This window comes from Homo sapiens, chromosome 7, assembly GCF_000001405.40.
Source record: "Homo sapiens chromosome 7, GRCh38.p14 Primary Assembly".
In the NCBI taxonomy this organism is placed as follows: Eukaryota; Metazoa; Chordata; class Mammalia; order Primates; family Hominidae; genus Homo; species Homo sapiens.
This window is the reverse complement of record NC_000007.14, coordinates 137547775-137570599: the sequence shown is the minus strand read 5'-3', so window position 1 is coordinate 137570599 and position 22825 is coordinate 137547775. Positions and strand designations below refer to the sequence as shown.

At 37.2% G+C, this 22825-nt stretch overlaps 1 protein-coding gene across 8 annotated transcripts in view; it reads left to right on the top strand.

Annotated features, from left to right (window-relative positions):
- The window catches only part of DGKI (diacylglycerol kinase iota), a 465938-nt gene that overhangs the window by 276375 nt on the left and 166738 nt on the right, over positions 1–22825 (top strand). For all 8 annotated transcript variants that reach the window (XM_047421022.1, NM_001321708.2, XM_047421021.1 and 5 more), the window contains one exon: positions 18032–18231. In XM_047421022.1, the coding sequence (XP_047276978.1) occupies positions 18032–18231 (200 nt within the window). The remainder of the gene's footprint in view (positions 1–18031; positions 18232–22825) is intronic.

The following is a 22825-nucleotide window of genomic DNA, read 5'->3' as shown; positions in this document are numbered from 1 at the left end:
AAAAAATTACACTATAGAAACATCCCAGCATTGGCACAGAAGCCATAGCATTTTATACTTTTTTGGTTCACTGAGGAGTTTTGTGTTTAGGTAAAAAAGAGACAGTAGCAACTTGTGGATATCCGTCTTACTTATGAGTAAAATGATCATCTCCATTATCACAAAATATCTGAATATACAAAGACATCATTATTGTGATATTAGTGCATACTCAGTTGCCACAATATTGAGATCACCTTGTATTTTAATTTTGTTTGCTTGCATTAAGGAAGGAAATTTATAGTGTAAGTATATTTTCAAACAGGTTTTAGCCATGCATTCCTGCTTATTATTAAATGATGTGCGGACCAGTTAAAATTATGCTTATCATTTCTTGTGTAAATCAGGCCACACTGAGTTTGTAATGCAAATAAAAACAAAGCTTCTGCTTGTCACCTTTGGTTGGCACATGATTTGTGCTGTACCTTATGCATAAAAGAAAGAAGGTTGTATTTCTCATTCTAAACAAATCAAAATAGGTCTCTCTTTTACTCATCTTATGAATTCCAAATAACTCTACCTCAAATTAGTGAAGTTTAACAGAAAAATCTATTGTGCTTATGGCAAGAATCTTCATCACCTGATTTTGTGATGGCCCTTGTTAACTCATCTCTAGAATAAAATAGTTGTCATGGTAGAAAAGATTGGACTGGGGTTGACTTACTTTCCAGCGTTGTAACACAATATAGCTCCTTATCTCCAGAGCTTTTTATGTTTATTGCAAATGAAGATACAAGCCAAGAGCAAATAGGATTAAGTTTAGGAAGGATATATGCAGGGAAGAATTCTTTTTTTTTTTTTTTTTTTTTTTTTTTTTTTTTTTTTTTTTTTTGAGACAGAGTCTCACTCTGTTGCCCAGGCTGGAGTGCAGTGGAGCAATTTCGGCTCACTGCAAGCTCTACCTCCTGGGTTCACGCCATTCTCCTGCCTCAGCCTCCCGAGTAGCTGGGACTACAGGCGCCCACCACCACGCCCGGCTAATTTTTTTGTATTTTTAGTAGAGACGAGATTTCACCATGTTTGCCAGGATGGTCTCGATCTCCTGACCTCGTGGTCCACCCACCTCAGCCTCCCAAAGTGCTGGGATTACAGGCGTGAGCCACCGCACCCGGCCAGGGAAGAATTCTTGGAGGTGACAAAATCATGCCCGTATATGATGGAAAAAACTCTCTAAACTGTCCATACGTGGGTTACTTATTCTTTATTCACTGATCGAGTGAACATTTATTGAGTGGTTATCATGTGCTAGAGCCTCCTAGTTCTGACTGTGGTAGAAGGCTCTCAGGGATTGTCTGCAAGATGACAATCCCTTACCTAGGCCTGGAAGTCCAAGGGGAATATTCAGTATTTCCCCATTGCTCTTAGGATCAAAATCTCTGTCCTTATTTGGCCTGTAAAGTTGAGGTTCTGTCTGGTTCTCTAGCCTTCCCTGCTCTCATCTTTGCTTTCTAGCTCAAGCAGCTGACAAGTGAAGCACAGCATCGGCTCTCCCTTGCTTCTTTTGTACCACCAAGCCATTGCACGTGTGCTCTCTCTCTCTGAAATGTACTTCAACTGTTTCTTCTATGCCTTCTCAGACTATATCTGTGTCTTGTTCTTGTTCTTTTTGTAGTCTTTTCTGGTATGGGTGTTTTTTTTTTCTAACAATTGTATAATTAGTATAATTTTTATTATACTAATTCGTATATTTAGTATGATAATTAGAATATTACACTAATTATATAGGAGCAATACTGAAACTGGGTAATTAGTGGAGAGTTGAATGGAGGGCTCTTTCACAAATAGTGCACTAGGTTTATGAGAAACCAATTCTTGAGCTGAAGATAAAAAGGAAAAGAAGATAAAAAGGAAAAACAGTACCAGAAAAAGAACTACTTGGAAAGGGTTACGTGATAGGAGTGATATTTGCAAAGAGGAAGCAAGCAACCTGTGCTCACCTGGCAGAGAGCAAGCCAGGGACATAAATACAGCGACTGCCCACTTCACCTTGACCTCTAGATCTTCTGCTGGTGGGTCTATCTGGAGAAGTCTGATTGGAAGCCAGAAGACATGGGAGCCACTGATGCAGTCCAAATAGCTCAGCCTCACAGAGCAGAAAAGAGGGCAGGGAAGGCTGGAGAGGCAGCTGGGGCAGCAAATGGTGAATATCCATCACTCCACTGTGGGTGGCCAGTCCACAACAGGGAGCCTGTGGCATGCAGTTGGCAATGCGTGACGTGACTGACTGAATTTTACCAGGAGAAGAAGAATGGAACTTGGCATTCTGGAAAAAGGAAAATTTACAAACATTTGGAAGTAGGAGGAATTGTAGTGCTTTGTGGGAACTATAAGTAGTTTCATGTAGTTTAAATGTAGGTGAAAAGAGAGAGTGATCACAGGTGGTGCTAAAGATGTGGGTAAGGGCCAGATCATAGAGTGCATCACAGCACTGATCTAGGAGCATTTACTTTATTCAGCATTCTTGAGGAGTTAGTAAAATTTTTTTAAAGATAAATATTTATATGGGAAGGTTTCAGTGTAAAAATAGACAAAATAATACAACAAACTCCCAAGTATCATCACTCAGCTTTTATAATTTTCAATTCATGGACAATCTTATATTTGTCCCACCTACAACCTCTTCCATTATATTATTCTGGAGCAAATCCTAGACATTACGTATATACAATATATGTCATATATACATCATATGCATAGCATATATATCATTTTATCCATCAATAATTCGAAATGGACTTTTAAAAGATACTTTCTTTTATAAACACAACCACAATAACAGTATATTATTTAAAAAAATGAAAATAATAGTACCTGAATATCACTAAATATTTACTCAGAGTTTGAATTTCCAGTTGTCTCACAAATATCATTTATTTTCTTATGCAGTTTCTTTGAGTCGGAATCCAGATAAAACTTACACATTGTGGTTGGTTGATATGACCTTAAACTCTCCGTAGTTTCCCCTTCAACTCTTCCTCATTTATTTATTGAAGAAACTGGTCATTTGTCCTGTCAAGTTTCTGAGTCTGAATTTTGCAGATAGGATCCCTGAGGCATTTATTAAAATGTGCTTCTTTCTTTTTTCTGTACTTGATAGCTGGATCTACATACACTACATATATTTTCCCCCAAATCTACTTTGTAAGCAGTGTTTTCTTTTTCTAAAAAAGAATATATAATGTCTGGCTTTCTTTCTCCTTTTTTAATGTTGGCAGATATTGATGGTCAATGTCTGGATGTAGGAAACATTAAGGGTTGCAAAATAGTGATATTCTAATTCTCTTTTTTTTTTTTTTGAGATGGAGTTTTGCTCTTGTTGCCCAGGCTGGAGTGCAATGGTGCAATCTCGGCTCACTGTAACCTCTGCCTCCCGAGTTCAAGCGATTCTCCTGCCTTAGCCCCCCAAGTAGCTGGGATTACAGGCACCCGCCACCACACCTGGCTAATTTTGTATTTTTAGTAGAGATGGGGTTTCACCATGTTGGTCAGGCTGGTCTTGAACTCCTGACCTCAAGTGATCCACCCGCCTCGGCCTCTCAAAATGCTTGGGTTACAGGCATGAGCCACCATGCCTGGCCTGATATTCTAATTCTATCCTTCTTTACCTAGATAGCTAGGTAAAGGATAAATGCATTAAATGAGATAGAAAACATAAAAGAGAGAATATCTCAAAAGAAATACACTGTGTTTTATCTATTTTAAATTCAAAATCTCTGTAAGACATCTAAGGAAATATAGAAATGGGCAATTTAAAATATATGTTTAGAGTTCAGGAGATCTTTTCAGGAGAGATTGTTTTGGAGAGGGAGGGGTTCTGCCAGATCCTTTTTATTCTTCTCCTATCATTTGTAGGAAAAAGAGAAATAATCGCAGATGGTAGTTGGCAAAAAAGGAAATGGAATACTAAAATTAGGTCCATTATTTTTTTCTCTTTTCATCATGTGAATAAGGTAATCCATATACATCATCAGCTAGCATCAAATGCATGATTGAATCTCAGATTCCAGTGACTCTAATTGCTTCCAAGAAAGAGAATGCTATCTAAGAAAAGCAAAATTAAATGGAGTTTAAACTGTATGGTTTTGAACATTCTATGACCTCTAAATGTATACTGGCATATATTTCTCTCTTTTTAGACACATTTTATCTTACTACTTGCTACTCATATAGCAGTAAAGCATTGTATTTTTTTTTCATTCAGGATGAAATAATCTAATTTGCAGTCTTCAATTTCACATTTCTTGAACTACTATATTGCTTATATTTCTAAGGAAGTAAATTATTTGAAAACTCAAACATTTGTTTAAGATGATTATGTAAACAGACAAATATAGTTATTTGGGTATATGTGTATATATTTTTGCATATTTAATATAGCTGCTATATAATTAAAAACATAACCAGTAGGTCAAGCTTTTTAGAAACAAACTATTTTTCTTAGAAATTTATATGTGTGTAGTAATTAAAGGCTATAAACTTAAAATCATGGAATACACTAATAAATATATTTGTACATTGCTTATGATTTCAGTGAAATCCAAAAAATTGAAAATTCAGAATGGCACTTTTATTATAAGAGAGCTTTGAAATAGAATTACTGGAATGAGAAAAAAGACTGTTTCTTTTAGACTCTTTATCTTGTAATTGCAAATTTCAAAGTAGAAGTCTTCAATTCATTTTACTGGTTGAAATGCATTCCTGCTAATTAAGATGATTCTTCATTGGGTGCTGGGTAATCTGATTACCTTTTTGGAGTTTACACAGACCATAATCAGACATTGTAATTTGTATTTATTTCTGCCACAATTTTCTGCCATTATTGTTTCTAAGGTCCTTTCATGTTGAGTTTGTTTCTAAGTAATTTAAACTTCTCAAGACGTTCAAAGCATTATTCAGTCAGAGGAATTGGGAACCTAATTTGCCATTCAGTATGAAATCCAAAGATTTCAGTCTCGTAAACTTTAAAGAAGGCACGTCCAGCTTTCTTTTTGTTAATTGAAATAAAACTGTGTAAGTTTCTTTATAGTTATGAATTAGGAAAGCAAGAGGTTATCCAGTGAGTAAAAAGGACATGGAGAAATTCTCAGGGTTGAAGTTTTACACTTACCATATATCTTTGTTTTAAGAAAAAGGTAATATTAAATGTATGCTTATTTTGATAATATACATAAGAATTAAAGTAAATTATCAGTTATAATTTTATGACTCATAAATAAATAACTATATTTGATGTGTTTCTAATTGCTTTATTTTTACATTTTTAAAAATACATGAAACCATATTATAAGGAAAACCCATACTACAAATGGCTACCTACTTTTTTATTGTATAAATATAGCCTAATTTATGTAATAATTATTTTATGCAAAGTTTCCTTTATGAAGCTTTTAGGTTTTTGATGTTTTATATTGCAGATAATCCTGTAATTAACATAATTGTTTGTAAACCTCTCTTCACATTTCAAATTATTTTCTTATGGCAAATCCTAAGGAAATTACAATGACATAAGCATTTTGAAGCCTCTTACTAAAAATTATAGAATTATTTTTTAGAAATGTCATACTGTTTACTTGCCCAAGAGCGGCATATAGAGTTCCTGGATGAGAAGTGATTTAGTAGACAGAGTTCCTGGGGCCGGCCGCGACTGTGGCGGTGGGGGCGGTAGGAGCCCCGCAAGGCGTTGGGGGTCGCTGAAGGCCAGCCAGCTGCATTCCAGGTGGCACGAGGGACCGCCCTTGTGCTCAGAGAAGTGATTTAAATATCCAACAGATGTTGAAAATGTGTTAATGGATACAGACATAAATGATGTTTAAATATTATACTTGATGAAACAGGGAAGAGAATAAACTTCCATCCCTGGAAGGAAGTAAAGGAATTATATATGTTTTATACAGATAAAATTCTGGAACAGACAATTATGTCCTTACAAACAACAACATTTGAGAGTAAGGATAAGTTTATTTTTATTGTTACCATTTTGTTTTTTTTAAAAGAAGTCAAATGTGTTTTTTTGCATATTTTAATGGGCTGTTTATCATTTATTGTTGAAATAGAAGAGATATATTCTGGATACAAGTCTTCTGACAGATTTATTTATTAAAAATAAATTCTTTTTGTTTATACTTTTCCTTTTTGTGTTTTTAGTGTTTGTTTTGATGAGCATGTTTTAAACATCCAATTTTATGAAAAAGGCTTAATTTGTATTAGAGCTTTTTGTGTGCTTCCTAAGAAATCTTTGATTACTCCCAGAAAGATTGGGAGGCCATTCTCCTATATTTTCTTCTTGAAGATTTATAATTTTGGCTTTTATATGTAAGTATATGATTCAGCTCAAATTAATTTTTGTGTATTGTGTAAGATACATATTCATTCATAAAAAATGCATTTATCCAGCTTTTTCCAGCACTATTTGTTGAATAAACTTTCCTTTTCTGTAAAATTGCTTTGGTGCTTTTGCTTGGTGTCTAGATTCTATTCTGTTCCATTGATTTGTTTATCCTCATTGCCAATACCACACTGTCTTAATTAGCTGTATGGTAACCCTTGAATCTGGTAATATGAATCACTTTATTGTTCTAACAGTGTTTTCCTTGTTCTAGATCTTTGGGCATTTGCATATAAATATTAGAATCTGTTATTATCTGCAAAAAATTAGGATTTTAATTGGAATTGCATTTAAGTTTTAGATAATTTGGGGAGGAATTGGAATATTAACAATATGAATGTTCCAATCCATGAACATGGTATATTTCTCCATTTATTTAGGTATTTAATATCCATCAACAATGTTTTGTAGCTTCAGTGCAATTTTCAGGTTTTTGCACACCTTTTGTTAAATTTATTTCTAAGTATTTTTAATGCTATCTTAAACAGTAATTTAAATTTTACATTTAATTATTGCTAATATATAGAAATAACTATATGTGTGTCTATACATATACAAATACATATTTGTTTATTGACCTTGTCTCATAACTTTGCTAAATTGACTTATTAGATCCAGTAGCTTGTTTTTTTTAATAGATTCCTTAGGTTTTTCTGCAACCACAATTATATTGTTTGAAATAGAGTTTTACTGTTTCCTTACATGCCTTTCCATTTTTATTTTTTATTTAAAAAATTTTTATGCCACTCTAGAAAATTCTTTAAAATTTCTTTTTCTTGGATGTTCACTAAGATGTTGAATAAAAATGATAAGAATGCACATGTTTGTATTGTTCCTGATTACATGGGGAAGCATTCCATATTTTTCATAAAATATGCTTAATTGTAGTTTTTTTTTATTAGTGTCCTTTATATGATGAAGGAATTTCCATTTCATTCCTACTTTCCTGAGAGCTTTTGATCACAAATGAGTGGTGTATTTTATCAAAGGTTTTTTGTATCTGTGAAATTGACATACAATTTTCCCCTTTCTTTTGTTTATATCACTAATTTCATTAATTTTTAAAAATCTTATACTGATCTTGCATTTCTAGGATAAGCCCCTCTTAGGCTTGATTTATTATCATTTTTATATTGCTAGATACAGTTTACTAATATTTTGTTAAGCATTTTTGTGATTATGATTATGAGGGAGAGCGATAAATAAATTTCTTTTCTTGCATAATTTGATTGGGTTTTGATATAAAGGTTCTACTGGCCTTGGAATCTGAGACAAGAAATGACATTCTCTTCTATTTCCTGAAAGAATTTGTGAAGACTGGTACTATGATTTTTTTCCTTATATATTTCATAAAATTTCCTAATATACTATTTGGCTTTGAGATTTCTTTAAGGCAAGTATAGATATAGAATTATTCATATTATCTATTTCTTCTTGAGTCAACTTTATTAAGTTAAATATTTCATGAAACTTGTTCATTATTTTGTCTAAATTGTTGAGTTTATGTTTACAATGCTATTAATATTTTACTGTTTGTAGGATCCCCCCTCCATTCTGGATACAAGTAATTTTATCAATTTACCTATCTTTTTCTCATAATCCTTCTTCTCTTTCTTACCTTATGCTCTTTTTTATTTTTTGATATGGAGTTTTGCTCTTGTTGCCCAGACTGGAGTGCAGTGGCATGATCTTGGCCACTGCAACCTCTGTCTCCTAGGTTCAGGTGATTCTCCTGCCTCAGCCTCCTGAATAGCTGGGATTATAGGTGCCCGCCACAAGGGCCGGCTAATTTTTGTATTTTTAGTAGAGGCGAGGTTTCACCATGTTGGCCAGGCTGGTCTCGAACTCCTGACCTCTGGTGATCTGCCCACCTTGGCCTCCCAAAGTGTTGGGATTACAGGCGTGAGCCACTGTGCCCAGCATTACCTTATACTCTTACTTCCATACATCTTTCACATTCCATATGAGCTCCACAAATCAGCATTAATGTATTTGCTTTGAACAATTGTTACTTTTAAAGAAATTAAGAGATGAAAGACAAATAGAAAGTCCTTTGTTACCCACCTGTCTCCCTTTCCAGTGCTATTCACTCCTTCCTGTTGATCCAAGTTTCCATCTGGCGTCATTTTTCTTTAATTTCAATGATTTCCTCTAACATTTCTTATAGTGAAGTTCTGTTGGCAACAAATAGTTTTAAATTTTATTTTTCTGAAAATGTCTTTATTTTATCCTCATTCTTTGAATTATGTTTTTGTAGATATAGAATTCTGAATTCTGGACTGACAGGTTTGTTTTTGTTCGTCTTGCTTTAGCTCTTTAAATAGTTGTTTTGTTTTCTTCTGGCCTCCATATTTTATAATGAAAAGTCAGCTGTCATTTGCATCATTATTTCCTTGTATATAGTGTGTCTTTTTTTCTCTGTTCTTGAGATTTTCTCTTTATTTGTTGTTTTTTTAAAAATCAAAATTTTAATTTATGAGTAGTAATTGTGCATATTGATGGAATACATAATGATGCTTCAACACATATAATGTACAGTGATCAAATCAGGATAATTAGCATATCGATCATCTCAAACATTTGTCATTTCTTTGTGTTGGGAACATTTAATATCCTCCTCCTAGTTTTTTGAAACTAGATATTACTGTCAACTATAGTCATCCTACAGTGGTATAGAACACTAAAATTTATTTCTTCTATCTTGTTTTAATTTTGTATCCTTTAACAAGTTTTTTCCTGTCCCTCCCTTTCCTTCACCCTTTCTAGCCTCTAGTATCCTCTGTTCTACTTTTTACTTCTGTGAGATCAACTTTTCCTAGCTTCCACAAATTAACGAGAATGTGTGGTGGTTAACGTTCTCTTCCTATCTTATTTTATTTAGCATAATGTTCTCCAGTTTCATCCATGTTGCCACAAGATTTCATTCTTTTTAATGGCTGAATAATATTCCATTGTGTATACATACTACATTTTTTTTTTTATTTTTTGTTGTTGGACACCTAGGCAGTTTCCATATCTTGGCTATTGGAGCAGTGCTGCAATAAACATGGGGGTTACAGATGTCTCTTCAATATACTGGTTTCCTTTCTATTGGATAAATGCCCAGTAGTGCAATTGCTGGATCATATGATACTTCCATTTGTTGTTTTTTGAGGAACCTCCATATTCCTCTCCATGGTGATTGTACTAGTTTATCTTTAGTTTTAAACCTCTTTGTAGCTGTATTACTTTCTTATTGCTGCTGAGAACAAATGACCACAACAGTGGCTTAAGACAACATACATTTATTATTTTAAATTCATGGAGATCAGAAGTCTAAAATGGGTTTGTAGGCCTGTGTTCCCTCTGGAGATTCTATGGAAGAATTAGTTTCCTTGTCTTTTTCAGCTACTGGAGGCTGCCCACATTCTTTGGCTTACAGTCCTGTGCCACTCCAGCCTGTTTCTATTCTTGCATTGTCCTCTCTGACTTTCATTCTCTAGACCCTAATTTTTCTTTATAAGGACCATTGAGACTACATTGGGTCCACTAAGACAATCCAGAATAATCTTCCTATCTCAACAACCTTAGTTTACTTACACCTGAAAAGGCCCTTTTGCTCCATGAGGTTTGTGTGGTTCCTGGGAGTTAGAACATGGGCATCATTTTTGGTGGTTGTAGTGGTGAGCACTGTTCTGCCCACCACAGTGGTTTTCTTTGCATTTATGCTGTTTTAGGTCCACTGGTCTCCTTGGACCTAAAGGTTTATTTTTTTCCCCAACGAACTAGGAATATTTTTATTCATGTATTTTATGCTCAATTCTCCCTTTCTCTGCTTCTGGGATTTAATTAAATGTATTTTAGATTGCTTGTTATTGTCTCATAGGCCATGAAATAGAATAAAACATTTCTGTCTCTGTTTTTCAGATACGGTAATTTCTATTCATCTGTTTTTATCTTCACTGGCCTCTTTTTTTCTGCAGCTTTCAATTTGCTCTTAAGTTCACTCAGCAATAATTTTGTTTTTTTCATTTTATTATGGATGATGTTTTCTTGCTTCTTTGCCTGTGTTGTCCTAGTGGATGATACATCGTATGTGGGTCTGGATTGTGTTTCGTTGTGACTTAGTGTGTACTGTCTTAGCATTACATTCTACTTAGTTCTCCACTTCCTGCTTCACAAGATAAAAAATCAGTCTTATATAAGGGACGAATTCTACTGGACCAGTATTAAAAGATGGATAGGGTATATTTCTTTTGTTCCAGAATTATACAAATCTATTTTATTCCATTGCTCCATTATATTTTATTGATTCTGTCACTATACTGCCAGAATATTGCAGATTTTAGAGGAATGATTGTCCATATAGCTACCTTTAAAGCATACAAATGATTTTTTTCTCAAACCGCATCATGAATACGAGTCTAAATCTCACTAACAGCTATGAAACTGGACAGGTCCACAAGAGTGGCTTTTTTTTTTTCCTGCTTCTCATAAACTCACTTTGGTAGTGACTAGAATCTACTTTCATTAAACAAAAGTGAAAAAAGACACATGTATACAAGTAATCCCAATGAGAGTTTTGAGATTTTTACAAGACTTTTTCATAGAAAAATTTTTGACTTATAGTAAGTATGCAATAATTGCTACTATTTTTTTTAATTTGCAGAAGGGAGGTTTTTCAAATGCAGTTCTTTCTTTTTCACTCTCTAGCAGTTTAGAGTGGCTGGACAATATCACATCACTTATATAGTCAAGGAAAGAAACAGGGCTCTAGATGGGAGGAGGTGGAATTTGAGAACATGATTATAGAATTGTAGGTACAAGGCCAGGCGCGGTGGCTCACGCCTGTAATCCCAGCACTTTGGGAGGCCGAGGCGGGCAGATCACGAGGTCAGGAGATCGAGACCATCCCGGCTATAACGGTGAAACCCCGTCTCTACTAAAAATACAAAAAATTAGCCGGGCGTAGTGGCGGGCGCCTGTAGTCCCAGCTACTTGGGAGGCTGAGGCAGGAGAATGGCGTGAACCCGGGAGGCGGAGCTTGCAGTGAGCCGAGATCCCGCCACTGCACTCCAGCCTGGGCGACAGAGCGAGACTCCGTCTCAAAAAAAAAAAAAAAAAAAAAAAAAAAGAATTGTAGGTACAACCTAGAATCATAAAACGCTAGTTCTGAAAGTGATTGTAGCAGCATACTGTAATCACTTTACATATGAGGAAACTGAATTTATCGAATTATTTTTGCTATAAATATTTATTAGTGTGGACAATAATTAATACCACCACTACTAATAGCATTTAGGTTCCCTACAGCATGTTTTACCATGGAGCTTTAAAACACACCAGTGGGCTGGGCGCAGTGGCTCACACCTATAATCCCAGCACTTTGGGAGGCCAAGGTGGGTGGATCACCTGAGGTCAGGAGTTTCATAAAACGCTAGTTCTGAAAGTGATTGTAGCAGCATACTGTAATCACTTTACATATGAGGAAACTGAATTTATCGAATTATTTTTGCTATAAATATTTATTAGTGTGGACAATAATTAATACCACCACTACTAATAGCATTTAGGTTCCCTACAGCATGTTTTACCATGGAGCTTTAAAACACACCAGTGGGCTGGGCGCAGTGGCTCACACCTATAATCCCAGCACTTTGGGAGGCCAAGGTGGGTGGATCACCTGAGGTCAGGAGTTTGAGACCAGCCTGGCCAACATGGCGAAACCCTGTCTCTACTAAAAATACAAAACGAAATTAGCTGCACATGGTGGCGTGCACCTGTAGTCCCAGCTACTCAGGAGGCTGAGGCAGGAGAATTGCTTTGGAGGCAGAGGTTGCAGTCAGCCGAGATCGTGCCACTGCACTCCAGCCTGGGCAACAGAGTGAGACTCCATCTCAAACATAAATAAATAAATAAAATAATAAAAAAAACCCAGTGCCTAGAAATGTTAATTCTTGATAAAATGAAAAAAATCTTAATGATAGATGTTCCTGACAGTAAAATAGCTTGTAAAATGTTGTGTCAAAAACTATGAATTAGCTGATATTGGTGCCACTGCAAATTATGTAAGTAAAATTTCTCATTTTGGTGACTAGCTGAGTATATCAAAGAGGAAAATAATTCAATAGGAGATAGATCCATTGAGGCTATTTAGTACAGGAGGCTAGTTATGGGATGCTAGAAGAACTGAAAAGAGGTCAACCCATAGATTAGCAATTCATAAATCGACAACTGCAGGAAGTCTCTGTCACCTCTAGGGCTAGAGGGACAGCGAGAGAAGATGGTGTTATTAGCATCAAGGAGCTCAGGCTATAAAACAGAGCTGGAACCTGGGAGAAGTGGCCACCTGAGAGGCCTGTTGATGGGCATGGTGGGAGGGTCATACGGCAGAACTAGAACTCTGGAGAAGGGAATCGCTCCAGGAGAGTTGGAGCCTCAGTGAGGGCTGCCTGTCTGAGTTGGAGCCACAGGGACAGGTTCGCCTGGAGAGAGTGCTTCTCAGTAGGAAATGGAAGCTCAAAGGAATTACTAGCTATTGCCAGACACTGATTGAGAAAAAGAGATGGGAAGAAATACTTACTCTCTCCTCCCTTTCAGCCCACTAATATTTATATTTGTATTTTTATTTCTTGTTCCTTTGTGTATGACGTGAGGTAGAATACTGATTTTATTTTTCTCTATATAGTGGGAAATATTCCCAGCCTCTTTGGCTAAATTATCCATCATTTCTCCAATAATTTATAATGCCACATCACCGTAGTTCATGTACTCGTATCTTTGAGTCTATTCTGTTCTGTTATTCATTTCCACTGGCTTTCACTATTTTAATGACTGCATCTTTAAGTATTATATATTTCGGATTCTAACAGGGGCAGTCTGCTATCCATTGCCCCTGTTCTTTCCAACTATCCTTAGTAATTTGTGGATCTTTATCCTTCAAAATTAATTATTGAATCATTTTTATAAGTATATTAGTCAAGATTCTCCAAAGAAACAGAACAAAAGGGAGTGTGTGAGTGGGGGAGAGAGATTGAGATTTATTTTATTCTCACGTGAATTGTGAATTGGAGGCTGGCAAGTCCCAATTTGCACCAATTTGCAGGGTAGGCTGACAGGCTAGAGACCCAGGGAGCAGTTGATGTTTAAGCTCAAGTCCAAAGGCAGGCTGAGGTCAAATTCTTCCTGTTCTGGGAAGGTTCTTCTTTTTTCTTTTTAGAGTCTTCAGCAAGTTGGATGAGGCCCACTCATGTTTGCTTTACTCAAAGTCTACTGAGTTAAATGTTAATCTCATTAAAAAAATACTTTCATAGAAGCATCTAGAATGTTTGACCAAATATCTGGTTACTGTGGCTTAGGTAAGTTGACATGAAATTAACATGACAACAAGATTCCTTAAAATAGTATTTCTATTATTTTAATTTGAATTACATTGAATTGGTACATTAATTTTGGAAAATTAACATTATTAGAGTATTGAATTATTCTGTTCATGAATATAACATGCCTCTCCATTTACTTAAGTCTTCCCTTACATCTTTCAATAAAGTTTTAAAGTTTTCTGCATAAAAGTCTGCATGTACTGTTTTTGTTGATATTGTAAATGGCATTTTATATCCTATTGTATTTGTTTATTTAATGCTAGAGTAGTAGAATACTATTGGTTTTTTAATTCAACAGTGTATCAGCCATCTTTCTTATGAGTTTTAACACTTGGCCTGTGAATTTTCTTGGAATTTTTGTGTGTGGGATGATATCAGTAGAAATATTAGTAAGTTTGCATTTTTTCTTTTAATTCTTTTTTTTTCTAATTTTATTTCTTTGTCTCATTGTGTTGGTCAGTACTTCCAATATTATGTTGAAAACTTTCGTTGCTGATGGATAACTTTGTTTCTTGAAAGGAATGCTTCTAAATTTTTTTTTATTGTGAATAATATTTTTTTCTAGGTATCTTGGTGGGTGATCTTTATCAGTTACAAAAGCTACTTTCTGTTCTTAGTTTTCTATGAAATTCATTTTTATCATAAAAGGCATTGAACATCTTTTTTTGCTTAATCTTTTGAGATGATAATGTGGTTTTTCTCATTTAAATAATTAATGTACTGAAATTACAATGATGTATTTTCTGATGTTGAGTAATTCTTAATTTCTTGATTCTTAACAATAAACCATAATAACTTTAACTTCTATAAAAGAGACCACTGGCAGCAATTAGATGTTTTTAAATGATTTTGGCATTATGATCATGAATATAATTTAGGATAAAATTTTTTGTTTTCTTGTACTGCTTTTATCTAGTTTTGTTACCTTAAAAGCTATAGCATCATATTTTCTAAAGCATCTTGTACTAAATAGACACTGTCTTTCCTTAACATTTAGGTAGGACGGACTTATAAAACATCTAGCCTCTTTGACATTTTTGGGGAGGGGGTAGTGGGGCAGGTAAAATGAGGAACATTTTTTGATAACTCTTTCAATTTTTAAAATAGCCCTAATCTATTTAATTTCTGTATTTATTACACCAAACTTCGTAAGTTATATTTTTCCACGAAATTTCTTTCTTATCTAGGTTTTTCGATTTATTGTTTTCCTAAAATTCCTGCATGATTTTCAGAACTCTGTATTATCTCTTTAGCTAGCTCCTTATTTTATTTATTTAATTTTATTTTTTAGATACAGGGTCTTGCTCTATTGCCAGGCTGGAGTGCAGTGGCGTGATCATAGCTCACTGCGGCCTTGACCTCCTGGGCTCAGAAGCTCCTCCTCCCTAAGCCTCCCAACTAGCTGGGACTACAGGCATGCACCACCGTCCTCAGCTGATTTTTAAATTTTTTGTAGAGATGGAGTCTGACTATGTTGCCCTAGCTGGTCTTGAACTTCTGACCTCATGCCATCCTCCCACTTTGGCCTCCCAAAGTGCTGGGATACAGATGTGAGACACTGCACCTGGCCATTTCTTATTTTTAATAAAGAAAATAATTTTGGCCAGGCACAGTGGCTCACACCTGTAATCCCAGCACTTTGGGAGGCCGAGGCGGGAGGATCACGAAGTCAGAAGATTGAGACCATCCTGGCCAACACGGTGAAACCTGTCCCTACTAAAATACAAAAAATTAGCCGGGTGTGGTGGCACATGCCTGTAGTCCCAGCTACTCAGGGGGCTGAGGCAGGGGAATCACTTGAACCCGGGAGGTGGAGGTTGCAGTGAGCTGAGATTGCACCACTGCATTCCAGCCTGGCAACAGAGTGAGACTCCATCTCAAAAAAAAAAAAAAAAAAAAAGAAAATAGTTTTATGTTTTCTATTCTTTTTTGTTTAGTCTTACAAGAGGTTTGTTTACCTTGTTAGTCTTTAAAACACAAGCAGATGATCTCTTGCGCTTGATCTCCATGTCACAGATTTTTTCCTTCGGGTACTTTGTTCCAGGAATGAGGCTGGGGCTGATAGTGGCGGTGAGGAAGGAAAGGAGAGTAAGGTTTGCTCTTGCTTCACCCCTCCCCCAACCCAGGATTGCCTGTTCTTTCCATCTGACAGCAAGTAGAATGACTTAGGCAGTAAGGAGGAGGATATGCTTTGAGAGGGGTTGAGGGAAAATATTCCAGGGAAGAGTGTAGTGTGAAAAGATAGAAAATCTCAAGACATAGCTGCAGTGCAAAGGAGAGCTATGGTCTTGGGTCAATAAATGGCAATGAATGCATTAGGTCAGGGACTGTCTCAGTTTTCCTCTCAAGTCACAGAAAAGCAATATCTGACGTTCTCAGAAGACTAACACATGCTAGGTTAAATAGACAGCGACTGTCACGAATAAATCAAAGTATTACTAATAGTAAATGATTCATTCTAGAAAGTCTTGGGGCTTTCTATTAGGGCTCTTAGAGACTATGTCTTATAAGATGCTAAGCCTAGACCAATCTGAGACATGAAAAGTATGTATTTCTAATAAGTTTTAAAAAATTACTTATACTCTAATTTGTTCCAAAAATAATTTAATGTGACCGTGCTAACAATAATGGAAATGTCTCTACCCTGAAAAGCTAATTACAGTACTTCCTCTTGTCTCTGTGCAACCATCTTGGATTGATTGTGAAATGCCGGTAGGGGCGGCATTGACAGTTATTAACTCTACCTGCTTGTAATATTTGCTGTTGTTTTATTTTTGAGTCTGAGAAGATGGCTTAAAAGTGGTCTAGACTACTGTGTATGACTTCAAATACCAAGAGGTTGGAAGGTGTTCAAGCCATTTTCAGTCCGGTTAGACTCAGCAGAATACCTTCTTACCAGGCAGGTTTTACATTTTATCTGTCATGAGGCCTACTCAAGTCTACAAAATAAAAAGAGTAAAATCATATCAGATAATAAGGCAAAAAGAATTTTAGTAACTTCTCACATCATTCTCCTCTGCTTTCTTGCTCACCAGTCAGTTGGCGGGAGGTGTGTAATAGACTAGGAAGGGGCACGTAGGAACCTTCTGGGTGTTATACATTTTCCAAACTTTGGTCTCGATGGAGGTTCACATGTGTATATAAAATATTTATTAAACTGTATAATAAAATTTGTGTGCTCTATGTATGTTATACAACAAAAATGTATGATTTTTCTTTTATTTCCTAGAAGGATAAATAATACTAAATACATTTTTTTTTTACTAAGTCAGAAGAGGTTATACAAATGTGTTGCTCCTTAATGACAGACTTTTAATATTGTCTTGAAACTCCATTCTGTGGCTACCATGATGAACTGAGTTCTGTCTTTCATTTTGATCCTTAAAGCTGCTTTGCTTTCCAGAGTGTTTTAAATTAAGTAATTGATGTTATTTTGCATTTTGTTGATCTTATACAGGTTAGAGATAGCTTGTGGAAGTTTAGATAAAAAGCAAACACCTATTTAAACTTGAAAAGTAACAATGTGCTGCATATTAAAGTATTGGATAAATACAATTTAGAGGTTAATAAACTACCTGCTTTATATTCTTCATATTGGTTTTGTTCTACTTTCATTGGTTATTTAATGAGAATAGATAACACAAAGAAAAAGCTTTGTATTAAACTAACATGCTTAAATTTAGATTTGAAACATATAAGAGCAAAAAGTGATAGTTAATAGGAATTTATGGTAAAGCTCGTCAAAATTGTGAATATTTGGTTTATTTGCATTAATGGTTTATCCAGGTTTCCTACTATGGTGGTGGTTAATTTTACTAATTTTAGTATGTTTATCAGAGACTCCTTGGTTATGTACAATGGACTTGGGGGTTTCCAGCTTTCTTTTCCTTTTTTTTCTTTGAGATGGAGTCTCGCTCTATTGCCCATGCTGGAGTGCAGCGGCTTGACCTCGGCTCACTGCAACCTCTGCCTCCCAGGTTCAAGCGATTATCTTGCCTCAGCCTCCTAAGTAGCTGGGACTACAGGTGCCTGCCACCATGCCCAGCTTTTTTTTTTTTTTGTATTTTTAGTAGAGACCGGGTCTCGCCATGTTGGCCAGGCTGCTCTGGAACTCCTGACCACCGGTGATCCACCTGCCTTGGTCTCCCAAAGTGCTGGGATTACAGGCATGAGCCACAGCGCCTGGCCTCCAGCTTTCTTAAATAATAACTAACTCCTTGCTCCCCTTTGACTCTTGTTTTTATAGGCAGCCCTGCAAGTTGGGGGCCATGGAGAGAGGCTACACCAGTGTCGAGAAGTCATGCTTCTAACTTACAAATCCATCCCCATGCAAGTGGATGGGGAGCCCTGTAGGTTGGCCCCAGCTATGATTCGGATCTCCCTGAGGAATCAGGCCAACATGGTACAGAAGAGCAAGAGGAGAACATCCATGCCTTTACTCAATGAGTGAGTCTGCTCATGGCCTACCTTGCTTAACATGAAGACCTTGGAGAGGAGAGTGCAGAGCATGTGCATGGTCTGGGGACCTCACTGTGTTGGGAAGAGGAAAAAAGTCCAGGAGACTCAGTAGTTCCTTGGTTTCTCTCATAGGAACACATAGAGTTTTTTTCTCCTTGTTTATTATACAGTTCCATGCCCTTCTTTTAGTAGTTATTACTGTACATGAGATAGATGATTCTTCTTCACTGACCACTTGAGAATATATTTACTGGGACTAGCAGAAAATCATTGAGAGGGATTCTAGGATGGTAAACCGTGTTCAGGTAAATGCGTTTTTGTTTGTTTTGTTTTAGGGAAGCACATAGTTAGCCTGCTCTTTACCCAGGTCGCTTGGAGAGTGTTGGTTTCTCCAGTCACGGGTGGTTGGCAGAGCTGGTCAGTGGCTTGCCTCTATCCACATTGCATCTCTTTCTGCCTGCCAGTGAATTGTTCCCTTCCTGATGTTCCCATTTTGGGGTCCTCCATACTCTGGGGCTTCAACTCAGTGTTGGCTTTCTGGGCAGCATCCTATTGTCCAGACATAGCCTGACCCACTCTTTCTACCCCTGAACACATGGTATCCCACCTGGAGTTTTCCTTTCTTAGGCATTTTAATAAACTGACTTGAGGTAAGGTAATATTGGCTAGATATTTAGAATTCATATTCATCTTATAGTGTGTCTCACTCCAACTAGTGATTAAGTGTCTGTGGGGTTGGAGAAGGGGACGGAAAATGAACATAATTTTTGGCATCTTTTGAGTATTTCCTCTATATCATGCTATGTGCTTAAGGCCATTTCAGGACTTAGCCTTTTGTCATTCTCTATCACAGTGAGGGACTCTCAAAGGTGCTCCTCCCGTTTGTGGCCTGTAATGCATGGTTACCTATTTGCACTGAGTGGCTGGCTTCCTTGTGGTGCCTGTAAAGCAAGGGCGTGCTTTGCCATGCATTTATTGAGTCAATATAACGGTATGCAGAAGTCCTTACAATAGCCAGCAACACAGGTGCCCTCATTCACTACCAACACTTACTGCTCTCTCTCTGTGGTGGCACATGTTGGTTGAGGAACAGGATTAGACAGTGCTCTCAGAGTGTTCCAGCTTTTGGCATCTGGGTCTCAGTTTGAAGCTGGGGTAAAAAATCCTGTCTGTCCTCTCCTTCCTTCTCTCCCAGAATCTGGACTTCCCCCAGAATTTTTCCTAGATCATTTTCCAGAGGTGTTTTTTAGTTACATGTCTTTCTTTGTTTACATTTTGCATTTAGTGAAACTCCTCGCTCATTCCTCCTGTCCTCCGTGCCTGCTGCCCTCCCTGCCTTTACCTTCTATCAGGTTAAATACACAATTGCTGAGGTTATATGTTAAAAAATGTGGCATGCCAGTGGTTGTATATGGTTCATCCAATTCCCCCTAGAAATGTTAGAGTTAAATGGACCAAGGGTTTGCTGGAAATCTATGAACTACTAAGTGAAAAACCATCTCTGAAACTGTGCTATAGCCTATGTTGTTGGGTCACTTGTAGATAGTTAAGAAGATATGCAGAATCTAAAAGTTTTTACTATATATAGGCAGAGAACTCACAGTCTTAGACCTGCTGCTTCTGTATTTAATAACCTTATCAGACATGAAATGGTTTTCAGGTATTTAGTTTTAAACAGCTTTTACCTTTGTGTTGAGAATTCGTATTTGCTCAGCAACCATATTGTTAAGAGTTCATTTGACTTTCTGCATCTATAGAAGCACATAAAAAGAATTTTTTTCTTTTTGTACTCAAGGCACACATGATATATGATGGCATTTTTTGTAGCACTTAGCTTTGCAGGTGTTCAAGAAGCAGCCTCAACTTAAAAATACTGTTACTGGCTGGGTACGGTGGCTCACACCTGTAATCCCAGCACTTTGGGAGGCCAAGATGGCCAGATCACTTGAGACCAGGAGTTCAAGACCAGCCTGGTCAACACGGCAAAACCCCTTCTCTGCTATAAATACAAAAATTAGACAGGTGTGGTGGCATGCGCCTGTAATCCCAGCTACTCAGGAGGCTGTAATCCCAGCTACTCATAAGAATCTCTAGGACCACAAGGCAGAAGTTTCATGGAGCCGAGATCACACCACTGCACTCCAGCCTGGGCAACAGAGCGAGACTCTGTCTGAAAAAAAAAAAAAAAACTCAAACAACAACAACAACACACCCCAAAACTGTTACTTACTTTCTACCAGAGGCAGTGATGCCTGCATCCAAGCCACCCCATGCCCTCTGAAAGACTTATGAGAAATGGGAATAATAGTATAATTTTCATTTTATTAATGAATATTTATAAGACTTAAAGATAACAAAAATCTTTATTAGTACTTGTGAAAAATTATCATTCAACACTACATTTTGAGAAAATCAATACGGATAGCACATTTTCAAAAGAAAGCAAAAAAACCTAGTCATCATGTAATGTTTGCTTACTAAACCTTAATTGCTCTCATTCTGATCTTATTTACCTTCTAACCTATGATTAAATATTTCTTTCAATTTTACCAGAAAACCTTGTTTTGAAATCTAAGGTCTTCCACTAGATTTCCAAGTGGAGTTTCAAGTTCAAGGTCAGCCTTTCCTTCAAGACTGTTCTATAAGTGTTCTTCCACCTTCTGAGTCCTTCAAGCCTTTGTCTGCTTTGACCATCAATTGTGTGAAGTGCACCATTTGAAACAATGAAGAAAGAGAAACTTGAAAGACATTTTCTTTATTTCCTGCCTTCCTGTCTTTGCCTGTCTTCTTTTTTCCTTTACTTGAGGAGAACTAGTCGAAAATATCTTTAGCATTTTTAGCTTAAAAACCTCTGTGTGTGTGTGTGTGTTCCCAGTAAGAAGAAGGTGGTTGTTTAATTCATCTTTAAAAATTAGGCTTCTTTCACACAGCATGTTAATTGGATATTCGAGACGTAAGTGCTGTGGCTCCCGTAACAACAGTTCCCTTTCCACTTAGATGCCAGTGCTCCTTGTGGTTCTGCCCTTTCTCTGGGAGACTGTATCTCTGATCTGTGTCTTCAGCCCAGAATTTTCTTCTAAAAATTGAAGACTCATACCCAAATATCTTAGTTGACATTTTTACCTTAATGTCTCATAGTAACCTCAAACTACATGCTAGAAACTGGACTCATTAACTTTATTTCCTTGACTTTTCTACCCCACCATCCAGTGAGCCTATTCCCTTCACAGCTGTACACATGAAACTACCATCCATTCATTTGTCCTGTTCCTGGCCTCTGGGGTTCCCTCAGTCGCTTCTACTTCTATACACCTGTGTTAGTCCATTTTTGCATTGCTGTAAAGAAATACCTGAGGCTGGATAATTTATTTATTTATATTTATTTGTTTATTTATTGAGACAGAGGCTCACTTTCTTGTCCAGGCTGGAGTGCCATGGTGCCCTCTTGGCTCACTGCAACCTCCGCCTCCCGGGTTCAAGTGATTCTCCTGCCTCAGCTTCACGAGTAGCTGGGACAACAGGTGTGCGCTACCATGCCCAGATGTATTTTTGGTAGAGACAGGGTTTCCCCATGTTGCTCAGGCTGGTCTCGAAGTCCTGGGCTCAAGTGATCTGCCCGCCTCAGCCTCCCAAAGTGCTGGGATTACAGGCGTGAGTCACTGTGCCCAGCTAAGGCTGGATAATTTATAAAGAAAAGAGTTTTATTTGGCTCACAGTTCTGTAGCCTGTACAAGCATAGGACCAGCATCTGCTTCGCTTCTGGTGAGGCTTCAGGAAGTTTACAGTCAGGGCAGAAGGTGAATGGGGAGCTGGCATATCATATGGTGGGAGAGAGAGCAAGAGAGACGGGGGAGGCACCATACTCATTTAAACAACTAATTCTCACATGAACTCAGAGTGAGAACTCACTCACTACCTCAAGGAGGGCACCAGGTATTTATGAGGGATCTGCCCCCATGACCCAAACACCTCTGACCAGGCCCCACATACAACATCGGGGATTCCATTTCAACATGAGATTTGGATGGGACACACATCCAAACCATATCAGCATCCATCAGGGTAGCTACTACATTCTTTGAACTCTATCTTCTGTTTATTTCCCAAGTCTTTGACTCTCATCTCCTCTATCTTCTCTACCAGTAAAGCAGCCAGAGTTCAAAAGTCACGTGAGCTACCTCTCAGCAGCATTACTAAAATATGCTTCTGACTATTTTCTGTTCCTGCCCTTGCTGCCTTCACATAATCTGTCTCTTCTGATATACCCGTTAGATTGATATAAGAATCCCAAGCCTGTGTTCCTTAGCTTTGCAGACCTTTTTGATCACTCCCTTCTTCATTCTCTTTGCTCTTTGTTCCAGGGAAGATTGCTGTTCCTGGAACAGTAGCCTGTCTCCTACATCATCCTGGTTTTGCTCTCTGGTCCTCTTCTTGCAGTGCCCTCTGCACCTCTTTATCTTCTGCTAACTCCTCGCTCACAGCTTAGGACCCCATTGAAATGCTACTATTCCTAATAAGCCTTTTCTGTCTACTTCTAGCTGTTAGATGTACCTTTACGTGTTTCAGTGGTGCTCTTGGTTAT